This window comes from Homo sapiens, chromosome 10 (genome assembly GCF_000001405.40).
Source record: "Homo sapiens chromosome 10, GRCh38.p14 Primary Assembly".
Lineage (NCBI taxonomy): Eukaryota > Metazoa > Chordata > Mammalia > Primates > Hominidae > Homo > Homo sapiens.
This window is the reverse complement of record NC_000010.11, coordinates 31,461,324-31,478,585: the sequence shown is the minus strand read 5'-3', so window position 1 is coordinate 31,478,585 and position 17,262 is coordinate 31,461,324. Positions and strand designations below refer to the sequence as shown.

General features: G+C 38.8%; 1 protein-coding gene across 56 annotated transcripts in view, besides 2 other annotated features; it reads right to left on the bottom strand.

Annotated features, from left to right (window-relative positions):
- ZEB1 (zinc finger E-box binding homeobox 1) overlaps positions 1-17,262 on the bottom strand; it is a 211,388-nt gene that overhangs the window by 51,219 nt on the left and 142,907 nt on the right. The gene's annotated exons all lie outside the window — the stretch shown is intronic.
- Positions 10,012-10,306: an enhancer, noted in NCBI's record as "tiled region #3516; HepG2 Activating DNase matched - State 12:CtcfO". NCBI's record gives its function as "activates a minimal TATA promoter and a strong SV40 promoter by Sharpr-MPRA in HepG2 cells {active_cell/tissue: HepG2}" and the evidence as "EXISTENCE:reporter gene assay evidence [ECO:0000049][PMID:27701403]".
- Positions 10,555-11,056: an enhancer, noted in NCBI's record as "H3K27ac hESC enhancer chr10:31756459-31756960 (GRCh37/hg19 assembly coordinates)". NCBI's record gives its function as "activates a minimal SCP1, AML or CMV promoter by ChIP-STARR-seq in naive H9 embryonic stem cells {active_cell/tissue: H9 hESC(naive)}" and the evidence as "EXISTENCE:reporter gene assay evidence [ECO:0000049][PMID:30033119]".

Here is a 17,262-nt window from a genome sequence, read left to right as displayed (position 1 = left end):
CTCTGCTATTGTGAGTAGTTCTGCGATAAACATACATAAAGGTGTCTTTCTTATATAATGATTTCTTTTCCTTTGGGTAGAAGCCCAGTAGTGGCATTGCTGAATTGAATGGTAATTCCATTTTTAGTTTTTTCAGGAATCTCCAAACTGTTTTCCATAGCGGTTGTACTAATTTGCATTCCCACCAACAGTGTATAAGAATACCCTTCTCTCTGCATCCATGCCAACATCTGTTGTTTTCTGACTTTTAATCATAGCCATTCTGACTGGTATAAGATAATATCTCATTGTGGCTTCAATTTGCACTTCTCTGATGATTAGTGATATTAAGCATTTTTAAAATGTTTGTTGGCAACTTTATGTCTTCTTTTAAGAAATGTCTGTCCATGTCCTTTGACCAATATTTAATGGGGTTGTTTTTCTCTTGCTGAGTTATTTGGGTTCATTGTAGATTCTGGATATTAGTTCTTTGTCGGAGGTATGACTTGCAAATGTTTTCTCTCATTCTGTAGGTTGTCTGCTTACTCTGTTATTTCTTTTGCTGTGAACAGGCTTTTTGGTTTAATTAAGTCCCACCTGTGTACTTTTGTTCTTGTTTTATTTTCTTTTGGGGTCTTAGTCATAAATTCTTTGCCTAAGCCAATGTCCAGAATAGTTTTTCCTAGGTTTTCTTTCAGGATTTTAAGTTTCACATCTTACATTTATGGGTCTTTAATCCATCTTGAGTTAATTTTTTAATATGATGAGACACAGAGGTCCAGTTTCATTTTTCTGCATGTGGTTGGCCAATTTCCCAGCACCACTTACTGAATAGGATGTCCTTTCCCCATTGTTTATTTTTGTTGAATCTGCTGAAAGTCAGTTGGTTGTAGGTATGTCACTTTATTTATGAGTTCTTTGTTCTATTCCTCTGATCTATGTGTCCATCTTTATCATGGTATCACGATATCAGTAACATGCTGTTCAGCCTTGTAGTATAATCTGAAGTTAGGTAATCTGATGTCTCTGGCTTTGTTCTTTTTGCTTAAGATTGCTTTGGCTATTCAGGCTCTTTTTTTGGTCCATATGAACTTCAGGATTGTTTTTTCTAATTCTGTGAAGAATGACATTGGTAATTAGGGATTGCTTTGAATCTGCAGATTCCTTTGGGCATTGTGGTCATTTTTAACAATATTGAGTCTTCCAATCCATGAGCACGAGATATTTTTCCATTTGTGTAATCTTCCTGTAGAGAACTTTCACCTCTTTGGTTCAATGTATTCCTAGTTATTTTATTTTTGTGTGTGACTACTGTAAATGGGATAGAGTTCGTGATTTGGTTCTCAGATTCAGTAACAGTATACAGAAATGCTACTGGTTTATGTACATTCATTCTATATCCTAAAACTTTACTGAAGTTGTTTATCAAGTCTAGGAGTCTTTAGGATTTTCTAGGTATGGGGGCATGTCATCAGTGACCAGAGATAATTTGATTTCCTCTTTTCCAATCTGGATGCCTTTTGTTTCTTTCTCTTGCCCAACTGTTCTGTCTAGGACTTCCAGTACTATGTTGAATAGAAGTGGTGTGAGTAGGCATCCTTGTCTTGTTCCAGTTCTTAGGGTGAATGCTTTCAACGTTTCCCCATTCAATATGATGTTGGCTGTGACTTTGTCATATATGATTCTTACTATTTTTAGGTACGTTCCTTCAATGCCTAGTTTTTGAGGGTTTTTAACATGAAGTGACATTGAATTTTACCAACAGCCTCTTCTGCATCTATTGATTGACATGATCATATCGTTTTTCTTTTTAATTCTGCATATATGGTGAATCACATTTACTGACTTGCAAATGTTGAACCATCTTTGCATCCCTGAAATAAAACACACTTGATTGTGATACATTTTGTTTTTGATGTGCGATAAATCTGGTTTGCTAGAATTTTGTTGAGGATTGTTACATTTATATTCATCAGGGAGATAACAAGTATCACAGAAAGAGTTAGGGAGGTATCCTTCCTGCCTTGGTATTTTGGAATAGTTTCTGTAAGACTGGTACCTGCTCTCCTTTGTAGATAAGGCAAAACTGTCCTGTAAATCTCTCTGGTCCTGGGCTTTTTTGTTGTTGGAAGGTTTTTTTTTACTATTGATTCAATTTCCTTACTCATAATTTGTCTGTTCAGGATTTCTATTTCTTCCTGATTCAATCTCAGGAAGTTGTGTGTTCCAGGAATTCACATATTTCTTCTAGGTTATCTAGTTTGTGCACATAGAGATGCTCATAGTAACCCCTGATGAGCTTTTGTATTTCTGTTGTATCAGCAATACTGTCACCTTTATCATTTCTGATTGTGCTTACTTGAATTTTCTCTCTTTTTTCTTCATTAAACTAGTTAGTGGTCTACCAATTTTGTTTATCCATTCAAAGAACAAACTCTTCATTATGTTGATCCTTTTCATCATTTTTTTTTGGTCTCAATCTCATTTGGTTCTGCTCTTTGTTATTTCTCTTCTTCTGCTAGTCCCTTTACTTTGAGTCTGTAGTTGTCTTTTGCCATTAGGTGGGTCTCTGGTAGGCAGCAGATGGTTAAGTCCTGCTTCTTTTATCCAATTTGCTAGTGTTTATTTTTTAAATGGAATATTTAGGCCTTTTATGTTCAAGGTTAATATTAATATGTGTGTTTTTTTCCCATCATAGTTTTGTTAGCTAGGTGCCTTGGAGTCTCAGTTGTGTAACTGCTTTATTGGATCTTTGAGGTTTCTACTTACCTGTGCTTTATATGATGGTGAGTATTATCCTTTCATTGCCATGTTCAGAACTCCTTTGAGCATTTCTTGTAAGATGGTGTAGTGGTGATGAATTCTCTCTATGTGTGCTTATCTGGGAAAGACTATTTCTCCTTCAATTATGAAGCTTAGTTTGGCAGGATATAAAATTCATGTCTGACATTTTTTCAAGGTGGTTAAAAATAGGCCTCTAATCTCTTATGTTTTACAAGGTTGCTGCTGAGATGTCTACCATTAGGTTGATGAGCTTCCTTCATAGGTGATTTGACACTTGTCTCTAGCTGCCTTTAAGATTTTTCTTTCATATTGACTTTGAATAGCCTAATGACTATATGCCTTGGTCATGTTAATGTTGTACAGTATTTTTCAGGTGCTCTCTGAATTTCTTGTATCTTGATGTCTACATCTCTAGAAGATTGGGTGATTTTCCTAAATTATCCCCTCAAATATTTTTCCAAGCTTTCTACTTTTTCCTCTTCTCCATCAAGAATGCCTGTAAGTCACAGTTTTGGTAGCTTTACATAATCCTGTATTTCTTGAAGACTTTGTTCATTTACAAAACTTATTTTTTGTCTGATTGGGTTAATTTGTTTTTTTTTTTCTTTTATTATTATACTTTAAGTTTTAGGGTACATGTGCACATTGTGCAGGTTAGTTACATATGTATACATGTGCCACGCTGGTGCACTGCACCCACTAACTCGTCATCTAGCATTAGGTATATCTCCCAATGCTATCCCTCCCCCCCGCCCCACCCCACAACAGTCCCCAGAGTGTGATGTTCCCCTTCCTGTGTCCATGTGATCTCATTGTTCAATTCCCACCTATGAGTGAGAATATGCGGTGTTTGATTTTTTGTTCTTGCGATAGTTTACTGAGAATGATGATTTCCAATTTCATCCATGTCCCTACAAAGGACATGAACTCATCCTTTTTTATGGCTGCATAGTATTCCATGGTGTATATGTGCCACCTTTTCTTAATCCAGTCTATCATTGTTGGACATTTGGGTTGGTTCCAAGTCTTTGCTATTGTGAATAGTGCCTCAATAAACATACGTGTGCATGTGTCTTTATAGCAGCATGATTTATAGTCCTTTGGGTATATACCCAGTAATGGGATAGCTGGGTCAAATGGTATTTCTAGTTCTAGATCCCTGAGGAATCGCCGCACTGACTTCCACAATGGTTGAACTAGTTTACAGTCCCACCAACAGTGTAAAAGTGTTCCTATTTCTCCACATCCTCTCCAGTACCTGTTGTTTCCTGACTTTTTAATGATTGCCATTCTAACTGGTGTGAGATGGTATCTCATTGTGGTTTTGATTTGCCTTTCTCTGATGGCCAGTGATGATGAGCATTTTTTCATGTGTTTTTTGGCTGCATAAATGTCTTCTTTCGAGAAGTGTCTGTTCATGTCCTTTGCCCACTTTTTGATGGGGCTGTTTGTTTTTTTCTTGTAAATTTGTTGGAGTTCATTGTAGATTCTGGATATTAGCCCTTTGTCAGATGAGTAGGTTGCAAAAATTTTCTCCCATTTTGTAGGTTGCCTGTTCACTCTGATGGTAGTTTCCTTTGCTGTACAGAAGCTCTTTAGTTTAATTAGATCCCATTTGTCAATTTTGGCTTTTGTTGCCATTGCTTTTGGTGTTTTAGACATGAAGTCCTTGCCCGTGCCTATGTCCTGAATGTTATTGCCTAGGTTTTCTTCTAGGGTTTTTACGGTTTTAGGTTTAACATTTAAATCTTTAATCCATCTTGAATTGATTTTTGTATAAGGTGTAAGGAAGGGATCCAGTTTCAGCTTTGTACATATGGCTAGCCGGTTTTCCCAGAACCATTTATTAAATAGGGAATCCTTTCCCCATTGCTTGTTTTTCTCAGGTTTGTCAAAGATCAGATAGTTGTAGATATGCGGCGTTATTTCTGAGGGCTCTGTTCAGTTCCATTGATCTATATCTCTGTTTTGGTACCAGTACCATGCTGTTTTGGTTACTGTAGCCTTGTAGTATAGTTTGAAGTCAGGTAGTGTGATGCCTCCAGCTTTGTTCTTTTGGCTTAGGATTGACTTGGCGATGCAGGCTCTTTTTTGGTTCCATATGAACTTTAAAGTAGTTTTTTCCAATTCTGTGAAGAAAGTCATTGGTAGCTTGATGGGGATGGCATTGAATCTGTAAATTACCTTGGGCAGTATGGCCATTTTCACGATATTGATTCTTCCTAGCCATGAGCATGGAATGTTCTTCCATTTGTTTGTATCCTCTTTTATTTCCTTGACCAGTGGTTTGTAGTTCTCCTTGAAGAGGTCCTTCACGTCCCTTGTAAGTTGGATTCCTAGGTATTTTATTCTGTTTGAAGCAATTGTGAATGGGAGTTCACTCATGATTTGGCTCTCTGTTTGTCTGTTACTGGTGTATAAGAATGCTTGTGATTTTTGTACATTGATTTTGTATCCTGAGACTTTGCTGAAGTTGCTTATCAGCTTAAGGAGATTTTGGGCTGAGACAATGGGGTTTTCTAGATATACAATCATGTCGTCTGCAAACAGGGACAATTTGACTTCCTCTTTTCCTAATTGAATACCCTTTATTTCCTTCTCCTGCCTAATTGCCCTGGCCAGAAATTCCAACACTATGTTGAATAGGAGTGGTGAGAGAGGGCATCCCTGTCTTGTGCCAGTTTTCAAAGGGAATGCTTCCAGTTTTTGCCCATTCAGTATGATATTGGCTGTGGGTCTGTCATAGATAGCTCTTATTATTTTGAAATACGTCCCATCAATACCTAATTTATTGAGAGTTTTTAGCATGAAGGGTTGTTGAATTTTGTCAAAGGCCTTTTCTGCATCTATTGAGATAATCATGTGGTTTTTGTCTTTGGCTCTGTTTATATGCTGGATTACATTTATTGATTTGGGTATATTGAACCAGCCTTGCATCCCAGGGATGAAGCCCACTTGATCATGGTGGATAAGCTTTTTGATGTGCTGCTGGATTCGGTTTGCCAGTATTTTACTGAGGATTTTTGCATCAATGTTCATCAAGGATATTGGTCTAAAATTCTCTTTTTTGGTTGTGTCTCTGCCAGGCTTTGGTATCAGAATGATGCTGGCCTCATAAAATGAGTTAGGGAGGATTCCCTCTTTTTCTATTGATTGGAATAGTTTCAGAAGGAATGGTACCAGTTCCTCCTTGTACCTCTGTTAGAATTCGGCTGTGAATCCATCTGGTCCTGGACTCTTTTTGGTTGGTAAACTATTGATTATTGCCACAATTTCAGATCCTGTTATTGGTCTATTCAGAGATTCAACTTCTTCCTGGTTTAGTCTTGGGAGAGTGTATGTGTCGAGGAATGTATCCATTTCTTCTAGATTTTCTACTTTATTTGCATAGAGGTATTTGTAGTATTCTCTGATGGTAGTTTGTATTTCTGTGGGATCGGTGGTGATATCCCCTTTATCATTTTTTATTGCATCTATTTGATTCTTCTCTCTTTTTTTATTAGTCTTGCTAGTGGTCTATCTATTTTCTTGACCCTTTCAAAAAACCAGCTCTGGGATTAATTAATTTTTTGAAGGGTTTTTTGTGTCTCTATTTCCTTCAGTTCTGCTCTGATTTTAGTTATTTCTTGCCTTCTGCTAGCTTTTGAATGTGTTTGCTCTTGCTTTTCTAGTTCTTTTAATTGTGATGTTAGGGTGTCAATTTTGGGTCTTTCCTGCTTTCTCTTGTGGGCATTTAGTGCTATAAATTTCCCTCTACACACTGCTTTGAATGTGTCCCAGAGATTCTGGTATGTTGTGTCTTTGTTCTCGTTGGTTTCAAAGAACATCTTTATTTCTGCCTTCATTTCGTTAGGTACCCAGTAGTCATTCAGGAGCAGGTTGTTCAGTTTCCATGTAGTTGAGTGGTTTTGAGTGAGATTCTTAATCCTGAGTTCTAGTTTGATTGCACTGTGGTCTGAGAGATAGTTTGTTACAATTTCTGTTCTTTTACATTTGCTGAGGAGAGCTTTACTTCCAAGTATGTGGTCAATTTTGGAATAGGTGTGGTGTGGTGCTGAAAAAAATGTATATTCTGTTGATTTGGGGTGGAGAGTTCTGTAGATGTCTATTAGGTCTGCTTGGTGCAGAGCTGAGTTCAATTCCTGGGTATCCTTGTTGACCTTCTGTCTCGTTGATCTGTCTAATGTTGACAGTGGGGTGTTAAAGTCTCCCATTATTAATGTGTGGGAGTCTAAGTCTCTTTGTAGGTCACTCAGGACTTGCTTTATGAATCTGGGTGCTCCTGTATTGGGTGCATATATATTTAGGATAGTTAGCTCTTCTTGTTGAATTGATCCCTTTACCATTATGTAATGGCCTTCGTCTCTTTTGATCTTTATTGGTTTAAGGTCTGTTTTATCAGAGACTAGGATTGCAACCCCTGCCTTTTTTAATTTTCCATTTGCTTGGTAGATCTTCCTCCATCCTTTTATTTTGAGCCTATGTGTGTCTCTGCACGTGAGATGGGTTTCCTGAATACAGCACACTGATGGGTCTTGACTCTTTATCCAATTTGCCAGTCTGTGTCTTTTAATTGGAGAATTTAGTCCATTTACATTTAAAGTTAATATTGTTATGTGTGAATTTGATCCTGTCATTATGATGTTAGCAGGTGATTTTGCTCGTTAGTTCATGCAGTTTCTTCCTAGTCTCGATGGTCTTTACATTTTGGCATGATTTTGCAGCGGCTGGTACCGGTTGTTCCTTTCCATGTTTAGTGCTTCCTTCAGGAGCTCTTTTAGGGCAGGCCTGCTGGTGACAAAATCTCTCAGCATTTGCTTGTGTGTAAAGGATTTTATTTCTCCTTCACTTATGAAGCTTAGTTTGGCTGGATATGAAATTCTGGGTTGAAAATTCTTTTCTTTAAGAATGTTGAATATTGGCCCCCACTCTCTTCTGGCTTGTAGGGTTTCTGCCGAGAGATCCGCTGTTAGTCTGATGGGCTTCCCTTTGAGGGTAACCTGACGTTTCTCTCTGGCTGCCCTTAACATTTTTTCCTTCATTTCAACTTTGGTGAATCTGACAATTATGTGTCTTGGAGTTGCTCTTCTCGAGGAGTATCTTTGTGGCATTCTCTGTATTTCCTGAATCTGAATGTTGGCCTGCCTTGCTAGATTGGGGAAGTTCTCCTGGATAATATCCTGCAGAGTGTTTTCCAACTTGGTTCCATTCTCCCCATCACTTTCAGGTACACCAATCAGATGTAGATTTGGTCTTTTCACATAGTCCCATATTTCTTGGAGGCTTTGCTCATTTCTTTTTATTCTTTTTTCTCTAAACTTTCCTTCTCGCTTCATTTCATTCATTTCATCTTCCATCGCTGATACCCTTTCTTCCAGTTGATCGCATTGGCTCCTGAGGCTTCTGCATTCTTCACGTAGTTCTCGAGCCTTGGTTTTCAGCTCCATCAGCTCCTTTAAGCACTTCTCTGTATTGGTTATTCTAGTTATACATTCTTCTAAATTTTTTTCAAAGTTTTCAACTTCTTTGCCTTTGGTTTGAATGTCCTCCCGTAGCTCAGAGTAATTTGATCGTCTGAAGCCTTCTTCTCTCAGCTCGTCAAAGTCGTTCTCCGTCCAGCTTTGTTCCATTGCTGGTGAGGAATTGCGTTCCTTTGGAGGAGGAGAGGCGCTCTGCTTTTTAGAGTTTCCACTTTTTCTGTTCTGTTTTTTCCCCATCTTTGTGGTTTTATCTACTTTTGGTCTTTGATGATGGTGATGTACAGATGGGTTTTTGGTGTGGATGTCCTTTCTGTTTGTTAGTTTTCCTTCTAACAGACAGGACCCTCAGCTGTAGGTCTGTTGGAGTACCCTGCCGTGTGAGGTGTCAGTGTGCCCCTGCTGGGGGGTGCCTCCCAGTTAGGCTGCTCGGGGGTTAGGGGTCAGGGACCCACTTGAGGAGGCAGTCTACCCGTTCTCAGATCTCCAGCTGCGTACTGGGAGAACCACTGCTCTCTTCAAAGCTGTCAGACAGGGACATTTAAGTCTGCAGAGGTTACTGCTGTCTTTTTGTTTGTCTGTGCCCTGCCCCCAGAGGTGGAGCCTACAGAGGCAGGCAGGCCTCCTTGAGCTGTGGTGGGCTTCACCCAGTTCCAGCTTCTGGGCTGCTTTGTTTACCTAAGGAAGCCTGGGCAATGGCGGGCGCCCCTCCCCCAGCCTCGCTGCTGCCTTGCAGTTTGATCTCAGACTGCTGTGCTAGCAATCAGCGAGACTCCGTGGGCGTAGGACCCTCTGAGCCAGGTGCGGGATATAATCTCGTGGTGTGCCGTTTTTTAAGCCCGTCAGAAAAGCGCAATATTCGGGTGGGAGTGACCCGATTTTCCAGGTGCCGTCTGTCACCCCTTTCTTTGACTAGGAAAGGGAACTCCCTGACCCCTTGCGCTTCCCGAGTGAGGCAATGCCTCACCCTGCTTCGGCTCACGCATGGTGCGCGCACCCACTGACCTGTGCCCACTGTCTGGCACTCCCTAGTGAGATGAACCCGGTACCTCAGATGGAAATGCAGAAATCACCCGTCTTCTGCGTCGCTCACGCTGGGAGCTGTAGACCGGAGCTGTTCCTATTCGGCCATTTTCTGATTGGGTTAATTTGAAAGACTAGTCGTCAAGCTCTGAAATCTTTCTTCTGGTTTGTCTAGTCTATTGTTAAGGCTTTCAACAGTGTTTTGAAGTTCCTTCAGCAAATTTATCATTTTCAGATATTCCATTTGTTTTTTAAAAAATATATCTATGTTGTCTTTCATCTCTTAGATTGTTTCTCTAGTTGCTTTGGTTTTCAACTTTCTCTTGTATCTCACTAGGCTTCTTAACAGTCCATATCTTAAATTCTTTATCTGTCATTTCAAAGTTTTCATTTTCATTAAGATTCATTGCTAGAGAGCTAATGTGGTCCTTTAGGGGTGTCACAACATTCTATTTCTTCCTGGTGTTGGAGCTCTTGTGCTGGTTCCTTCTCATGTGTAGAAGCTGGCACTTATTATTTTTGGATTTATCTTCATTTGGGTGGGATTATTTTTCGTTGCCCCTTGAGGGTGTGACTCTTGCATATGTTGGGTTGTGTCCTTTGGCTTTGCTTCTACGTGCTTTTAGGGGGCCAAGGCTCTGTATAAATTCCTTGGTTACAGATAGCCTTAGTGTAGTTGTTTTCTCAAATGTTAATTGTTTGTAGTTTGTAGTAGTGGTATGCTGTATATGTGGTAAGGCTCACTGTCTCCTATAGAGATGCAAAGTTGGAGGTCTTTTGGGGGAAACTTACCTCATTCCTTAGAGCTGTGTACTTGTCAGCAGGAATTATATTGGGTTGTGCAGTTCACCCTACAGGCCAGCAGGTGATGCCTGCAGGTAAGAGCTGTCTGAGTGCTGTGCAATGATATCAACAGTTGCTGCGACAGGACATGCAGTTTTGACCTCCTGGCCAGTAGGTGATGCTGGCAGGTGAGAGGCAGCTGCAGTGATGACAGTGGGATTTTTACTTGGCCTTTGTTGATAAGGAATACAAGAGTGTTCTTGGTGATGGGTGGGGGGTGTGGAGCTCTCAGTGGTCCCATCCCATGCTCTGCTCCCAAGGCTGGCTAGAGGGGGCAAAGCTGGGTGGGACTGGGTCTGGTGAGCCCGTGATCAGGCTCTCTGAGGCAGACGTGACCTTGGTAGGGCTGTAGGGGCAGTTCTCAGGCAGCTGGAACAACACTCTAGGGAGGGGTGCAGGCACCTCTTCTGTGCCACAAGAGCTGGTTCAGGGTAAGAGGGCTAGCCCTGGGATTTCATTCCAGCAGATGGCCATGAGGCCCACTCAGCTTCTACACCCCTGACTGGTGGGTCTCCCTCCAGTGTCCACCCTGGCAGCCGGCCCAATTAGTTATGCAAATCCCAAACCACCTGTGCCCAGACTGCCATGCCATCCCAGGCATTCCAGAATGCAAGACTCCCTGCAGCAGAAAGCAAGGCTATGAGGCTATACCCTTCCTAGTCTATTCTCATGAAGGGAGGGGTGCCCAGCTTCTGTACCACCTGAAAAACCCACACCACACTCTTCCCTGTGTTCTGACAGTGGGGGTTCCTCCCCTGCTTGAGATCAGGCCACAGATCTCATCCCCATATTCCTGGGTGGTATGCTTGAGTCCTGGCAAACTGAGACCAGGCCAGTGGATTTGTCCTCTGGCTCCTTAGGATCAACCACTGGCAGTGATAGGAGGAGTAAAGTGTTCCCAGGTAGCCAATAAACCACTCAGGTGGGGCAATGGAGGCTATGCTGTGGGTCCCACTCCACAGCAATGGCCAGGCAGGCAATCTTAGGAGGGACTGGCAGGCATGGTCGTGTGTGGTTTAGATTCACCTCAGTCCTGCAGGAATGGTGGTGGATCCTGAATTGGTCATGTGAACATGCATGGGCCCCACTCTATCCTGGTGTGGCAGACAGCAGATGTAGCCGCTCGGATGCAGGGCACTCGGGGGTGGGTGCCCAGAGTCACGTTTTGCTGCAGCTGCCTAGCACACTGAAGGCTTTTGGGCTCCTTGTGGCTTCAAGTAGTGCCTCTGTATGGTCTCCAGGCAGCTCCTCCTACCAATCCAAACGTATTCAGGGGTTGTGGGAACTCCTCTAGAATTTCAGAGGTTGACAGTGGGAAAGTGGTGTTCCCGGGTTTCTTCACTCACACCTTCCTTGGGTCCATTCTGGTCCTAAGGTGTCTGGCAATACTGAGCCAGCAGTGTTGCTTCCTACTTCTTCAATCATGTCTGTCATGGCCTATATATTAAATTTCAGTGTTTTCTCTCAAAAGATCTGTTGAAAGTGTGAGGGTTTACTCAATATTTTGGTTCCTCTCTGTAGAAGAGGTGCATCCCAGATCCAGCTAGTTGGCCATCTTTAATCCCTCTCCTCATTTTTCATTTATTATTCTATTTGGATATTCCCTCCTTTTTTAAATTCTAGCTAAATGTTTGTTGATTTTATCTTCTCAAAAAACTAACTCAGTTTTGTTGATCTTTTGTATTGTTTTTCTACTCTTTATTTCATTTATTTGTGCTCTAATCTTTATTATTTCATTCCTTCTTCTAACTTTGGTTTTACTTTGTTCTTATTTTTCTAGTTCCATGAGGTCCAATATTAAGTTGTTTATTTAAGATCATTCCTTATTCTTAATGTAGGCATTTATTGCTATAAAATTCTCTTTTAGAACTGCTTTTGCTGCATTCCATGTTTTGGTATGTTATGTTTCCATTTTTGTTTGTTTCAAGATATTTTTTACTTCCCCTTTCATTTCTTCTTTGACCTTTGGTTGTTCAGGAGTGTGTTGCTTAATTTCCACATATTTGTGAATTTTCCAATTTTCCTCCTGTTACGGATTTATGGTTTCATGCCACTGTTGACAGAAAACATACTTGATATAATTTTAATTTTAAATTTGTTAAAACTTATCTTGTGGCCTAACAAATAATCTGTCCTGGAGAATGTTACATGTTTGAGTGAGAAAAATGTGCATATTCTGCTACTGTTGAATGGAATGTTCTGTATATCAGGTCCATTTTGTCTAGTGTTGTTCAAATCCACTGTTTCTTTATTGATTTTCTGTCTAGATGATTTCTCCATTATTGAAAGCACTGAAGACCCCTATGATTACTGTACTGCTATCTATTTCTCCCTTCAGTTATATTTTTTCTTTACATATTTATGTGCTCCAAAATTGGTGGCAAATATATTTAGAATTGTATCATCTTGATAAATTGACCTCTTTATCATTATACAATGACCTTCATTGCCTCTTGTGACAATTTTTTACTTAAAATTTATTTTGCCTGGTGTAAAAATGGCCACCACTGCTCTCTTTTGGTTCCACTTACATGGAACATATTTTTCCAACCTTCCTCTTTCATCTTATCTGTATCTTTAAAGGTAAAATAAGTCTCCTGTAGGCAGCTTGTAGTTGGGTCAGTTTTAAAAAATGCATTTAAAGCCTGAGCAACATAGCAAGACCCCATCTTTCCATGAAAGTTTTTTTTTTTTTTAAATTAGCCACATGTGGTGGCATATGCCTGTAGTCCTAGCTACTTAGGAGACTAAAGCAAGAAGACTGCTTGAGTCCAGGAGGTTGAAGTTACAGTGGGCTGTGACTGCATCACTGCACTCTACCCTGGTGACACAGCAAGGCCCTATCTCTGTATTAAAAACATGCATAGTAACAATGTATTTTGATTACTGAGTTTAATCCATTTGCATTTAAAGTAATTATTGATAAGTAAAAACTACTGCCATTTTATTGTTTTCTGAAAAGTTTTAAGTGCCTTTGTTTCTTTGCTGCTTCCATTGATATTTTATATATATATATATATTTTTTGCAATCGCATGGTTTATCTTTTGTGTATCTAACACAGTTTTTTTCTTTTAATTATCCAAAAGGCTTACAAAAACCATTTTATAGTCATAACAATCTATTTTAAACTGATAAGAACTTAATTTCCATCACATATAAAAACTACACTTTTACCTCTCCCCTCCCACATTCTGTGTTAATTTATACCACAATTTACATACTTGTATATTGTATATCTATTAAAAATTATTGTAGCTATATTTTAATACCTTGTTTTTTATTTTTATATTAGAGTTACAAGACATTTACACAACATCATTATAGTATCACAGCATTCTGAATTTATTTCTTTTTTAACTGTCCCCTCAGGTATTTATCCTTTGAGTTACAAACAATCCAATTATACTCTTTTATTTTAAAATGTAAAATTAAGTTATTATTGACTGCAGTCACCCTATTGTGCTATCAAATAGTAGGTCTTATTCATTCTTTCTCACTATATAGAATAGTATTTATAGTTTGGAACTTCTTTACTAGTGAGTTTTATTCTTTCATGTTTTCATGTTGCTAATTAGTGTTCTTTTGTTTCAACTTGAAAAACTGCCTTCAGTTTTTCTTACGAAGCAGGTTTAACAGTGACAAAATCCCTCAGCTTTTGTTTTTGGGAAAGTATTTCTTCTTCATTTCTGAAGTATAACTTTGCTGGGTATAGTATGCTTGGTCAGCAGTGTTTTTCTTTTGGCACTTTGAATATATCATCCCACTTTCTCCTTGCTTGACAGGTTTCTGCACAGAAATCTGCCTACAGTCTTATGGAGTCTGCAACTTTTCTTTTGCTGCTTTCAAAACTGTCGTTGACTTTTCATAATTTGATTGTAATGTGCCTTAGTGAAGATCTTTTTATGTTCAATCTATTGGACTTCTTTGATCTTTACAGATCTGAATGTCCATTTGGGCTTTTTGAATCTGTAGTATGGTGTTTTTCACTGATTATAAATAAAAACCTCAGCCATTATTTCTTCAAGTATGGCTGCTGCCCTAGTATCTTTTCTCCTGGCATAAGATGTATTGAATCTTCATGTATCTTAACCTGTTTTTCATATCTTTTCTTTTTTCTTTTTTTTCTGAGATAGAGTCTTACTCTGTCGCCCAGGCTGGAGTGCAGTGGCATCATCTCGGCTCACTGCAAGCTCTGCCTCCCGGGTTCACGCCATTCTCCTGCCTCAGCCTCCCGAGTAGCTGGGACTACAGGCACCTGTTTTTCATATTTTTTCTATGTGTCTCTCTGAGTTCCATTTAGTGTAATTTTTCTCTATCTTCCAAATTATTAATTTTTCTTTAACCCTGTTTAATTTGTTGTTAAATGTATCCTCTGAATTTCAAATTCCTACTATTCAATTTTTTATTTTTAGTTCTATTAGATTATTCTTAAAACACACTGGTTTTATTTTATCATATCATAGCAGATAACCATCTGATTTTTCTTTAAACAAGACAGTAGTCATTTTATAAATCTGTATGACGTAACTCTAGTAATTAGCCTTTATGGGTCAGTTTCTGCTTCCTTTTGTTTCTGGTAATTCTCACTCATGTTTCTACCTTCTTGCTAAATTATTTGGGAGACTTCTATAGTACTAGGATGAAGGTATATTTCTCCAAAAGACTTGTGTTTACTTCTGCCTGGTGCCAATAGATATTTGTAGCAGTTCCACTTTAAACTCAAATATGGCTTGAGATTTTTCAGGCTACACAGCAATGTAAACTTGGACTTCAAATCAGTGCGAGACAGCTTGTGGTTACTACTTCTCAAAGACAATCCTCCATTCCCTGAATACCTAACCAGGGAAACTTTGCTTGTTCACTCTCAAGGATGGTAGAGATGGAAAATGGTTTGCTTTTAGTTCATCCTCACAGTCGAGACATAATCCATACTGCTATTAAACTATCTTTGGTGGTCTTGGGCTTTGTTTCCTCTCAGAAGCCTGAAAATCACCTTACATTTCACTGGCTAGGCAAATGTATTCAGGACCAAAGTGTCTTCTATGATCTGCTCTGTTTACTTCTATGGGTTCCTTTTTTCACTTAGATTTTGACAAGGTAGTGTCTTACTTAGCTCTTTAGAAGTGCTAAGAAGTTTTTTGTTTTTGTTTTTAATCTAGCACCATTAGTTGTTTTCAGTAAAAAGGGTTAGTTCAAATAATCGAACCCAACATATTCTCAGAAGCAGAACCTGTTCACTGATTTTTTCACCTTCCTTTCTCCCTTCATCTACCTTATTCTTATTGCCCCCTTTTTTCCCCAGACAGATCATTTCCTTCTTGATTACCTATTAAGACTCTGGATCAACTACGTAATTCAGGCCACAGATAAGAAATACATAAGAAACCCTTGCTCCAAAAATGTTTGAGCTTAGTATTAACATTAACAGGTTCATAGCTCTACAATTAACCAGCTGCCATAAGTGAGCAAGTCAACTTCTCTGAGTCTCACTTTCTAGAAACCTGGGACTGTATCTAAAAACAGCCCTTTCCAATTCTTATATATTCTATCTCCTTTCTGTCTTTCAATTATCTCCCTTCTATTCCCATCCCATGGGCAACTACTTTAACTCAAAAACCCTTAACACTGCCTGATTATTACAGCCGTCTCGTTGAAGACACTACCTCAGCCTCCCTCCCTCTAAAATTCTTTTTCCATATTACACCAGACTTATTTATAAATTATTTTAATGATGTTCTTCTCATAGCTTCCATGATAAGGTTCAAATTCCTTGACATAGTACACAAATCACTTCATATTTTTTCCCTTGTTTACTTCTCTGATCTCATTTTCTGTGAACACTTTGCTCAAGCCTCTGTGGCTTCATGTATGTTGCCTCTTTTGCCTGAAAACCTTATATTCACTGTACTTTGTCTAATTAACCTCCATCGGTCCTTAAGAACTAAAGACCACTCTGTTTCACTCAGAACTCTTCTACGACTTCTCCTTCCTTCTCTAATTCGGATGCTCCTCCTTGATGCTGCCATATAATGTATACCTAAATAAAACTATAATGTATTTGTGACTTATTTATCTCTCTTCTCCATTAAGCCATATAAACATCATTCATGCAGAGAGTCTTATCCACAGTTGCAACCAATTTCTACAGAGGTTGCTGAATGGACAAATGAACAACACTATAAAATGAGAGGGCTGATTACATTATTTCAAAAGTCCCTTGTTAACCATTAGATTTGTCATATTGTAGAAATCTTAACTTCTGCCAATCTGTGCCTATTATCTGAGCTTTTATCTACACTTCCATATTTCATTATCCAGATAATATCCTGACCTGCATGCCTGACCCACTTTTCCAGATTTTAGTTTTGATATCTTGTCTAGACGACCTCTTTGAACTTGAATTCTTGCTGGGAAGCTTCTCCTTTGACTGGTCTTGGATTCGATTTATTGCGTGTACTTGTTTACCTTTTCTGATGCCCTTGTTCCTGATCCCCAACCTCTCTAATTAATACTATGCCACTTCCATATCCCATTTTTATATCATTGGTGCTTAACCTGGCAAGACAGGCTAAATAATTTAATTAGTTTATTAGGAAAAGTAGAAAGAAGAAATTTTAGAGCTAGAATAAAAGACTAGGTCCAATTTCTCCATTTGACAGATGAGGAAGAAGATTAAACTTTCAGTGTTTACTCACTGAAAGTGCAGCAAGTAGAGGGTCTCCTTACTTTCACCGCTCCTTCCACTCAGCCATACTTTGAGTAAAAGTAAAAATTTAAAGTGAAAAAACCACCTTACTTAAAGGATTCTGATGTATGTATAGAGAGGTTTACAAGCACTAAAAATACCTCCATGATTTATATGTGTTTGGGATTTTTGCATATTGAATTATAATTTCACTATATCTATATGATATTTATTGGTTTCTAAGTAGAGTATTCATTCGGGGTTACAATAAAAAATTAAAGGTAGGTTCAATTATATCAACAATATTTGGAAAGCTTGATCCTGGTTAATAAATTCTACTAAATTTCAATACATTATATGCATTGTAAATATGGTCAAAATAACTTGCTTATTCTGCTTCATAATCCACTTTTTAGTAAGTAGGACACCTAATATTTATTGATAGCCAAATTTACTATTGATTTCAAACT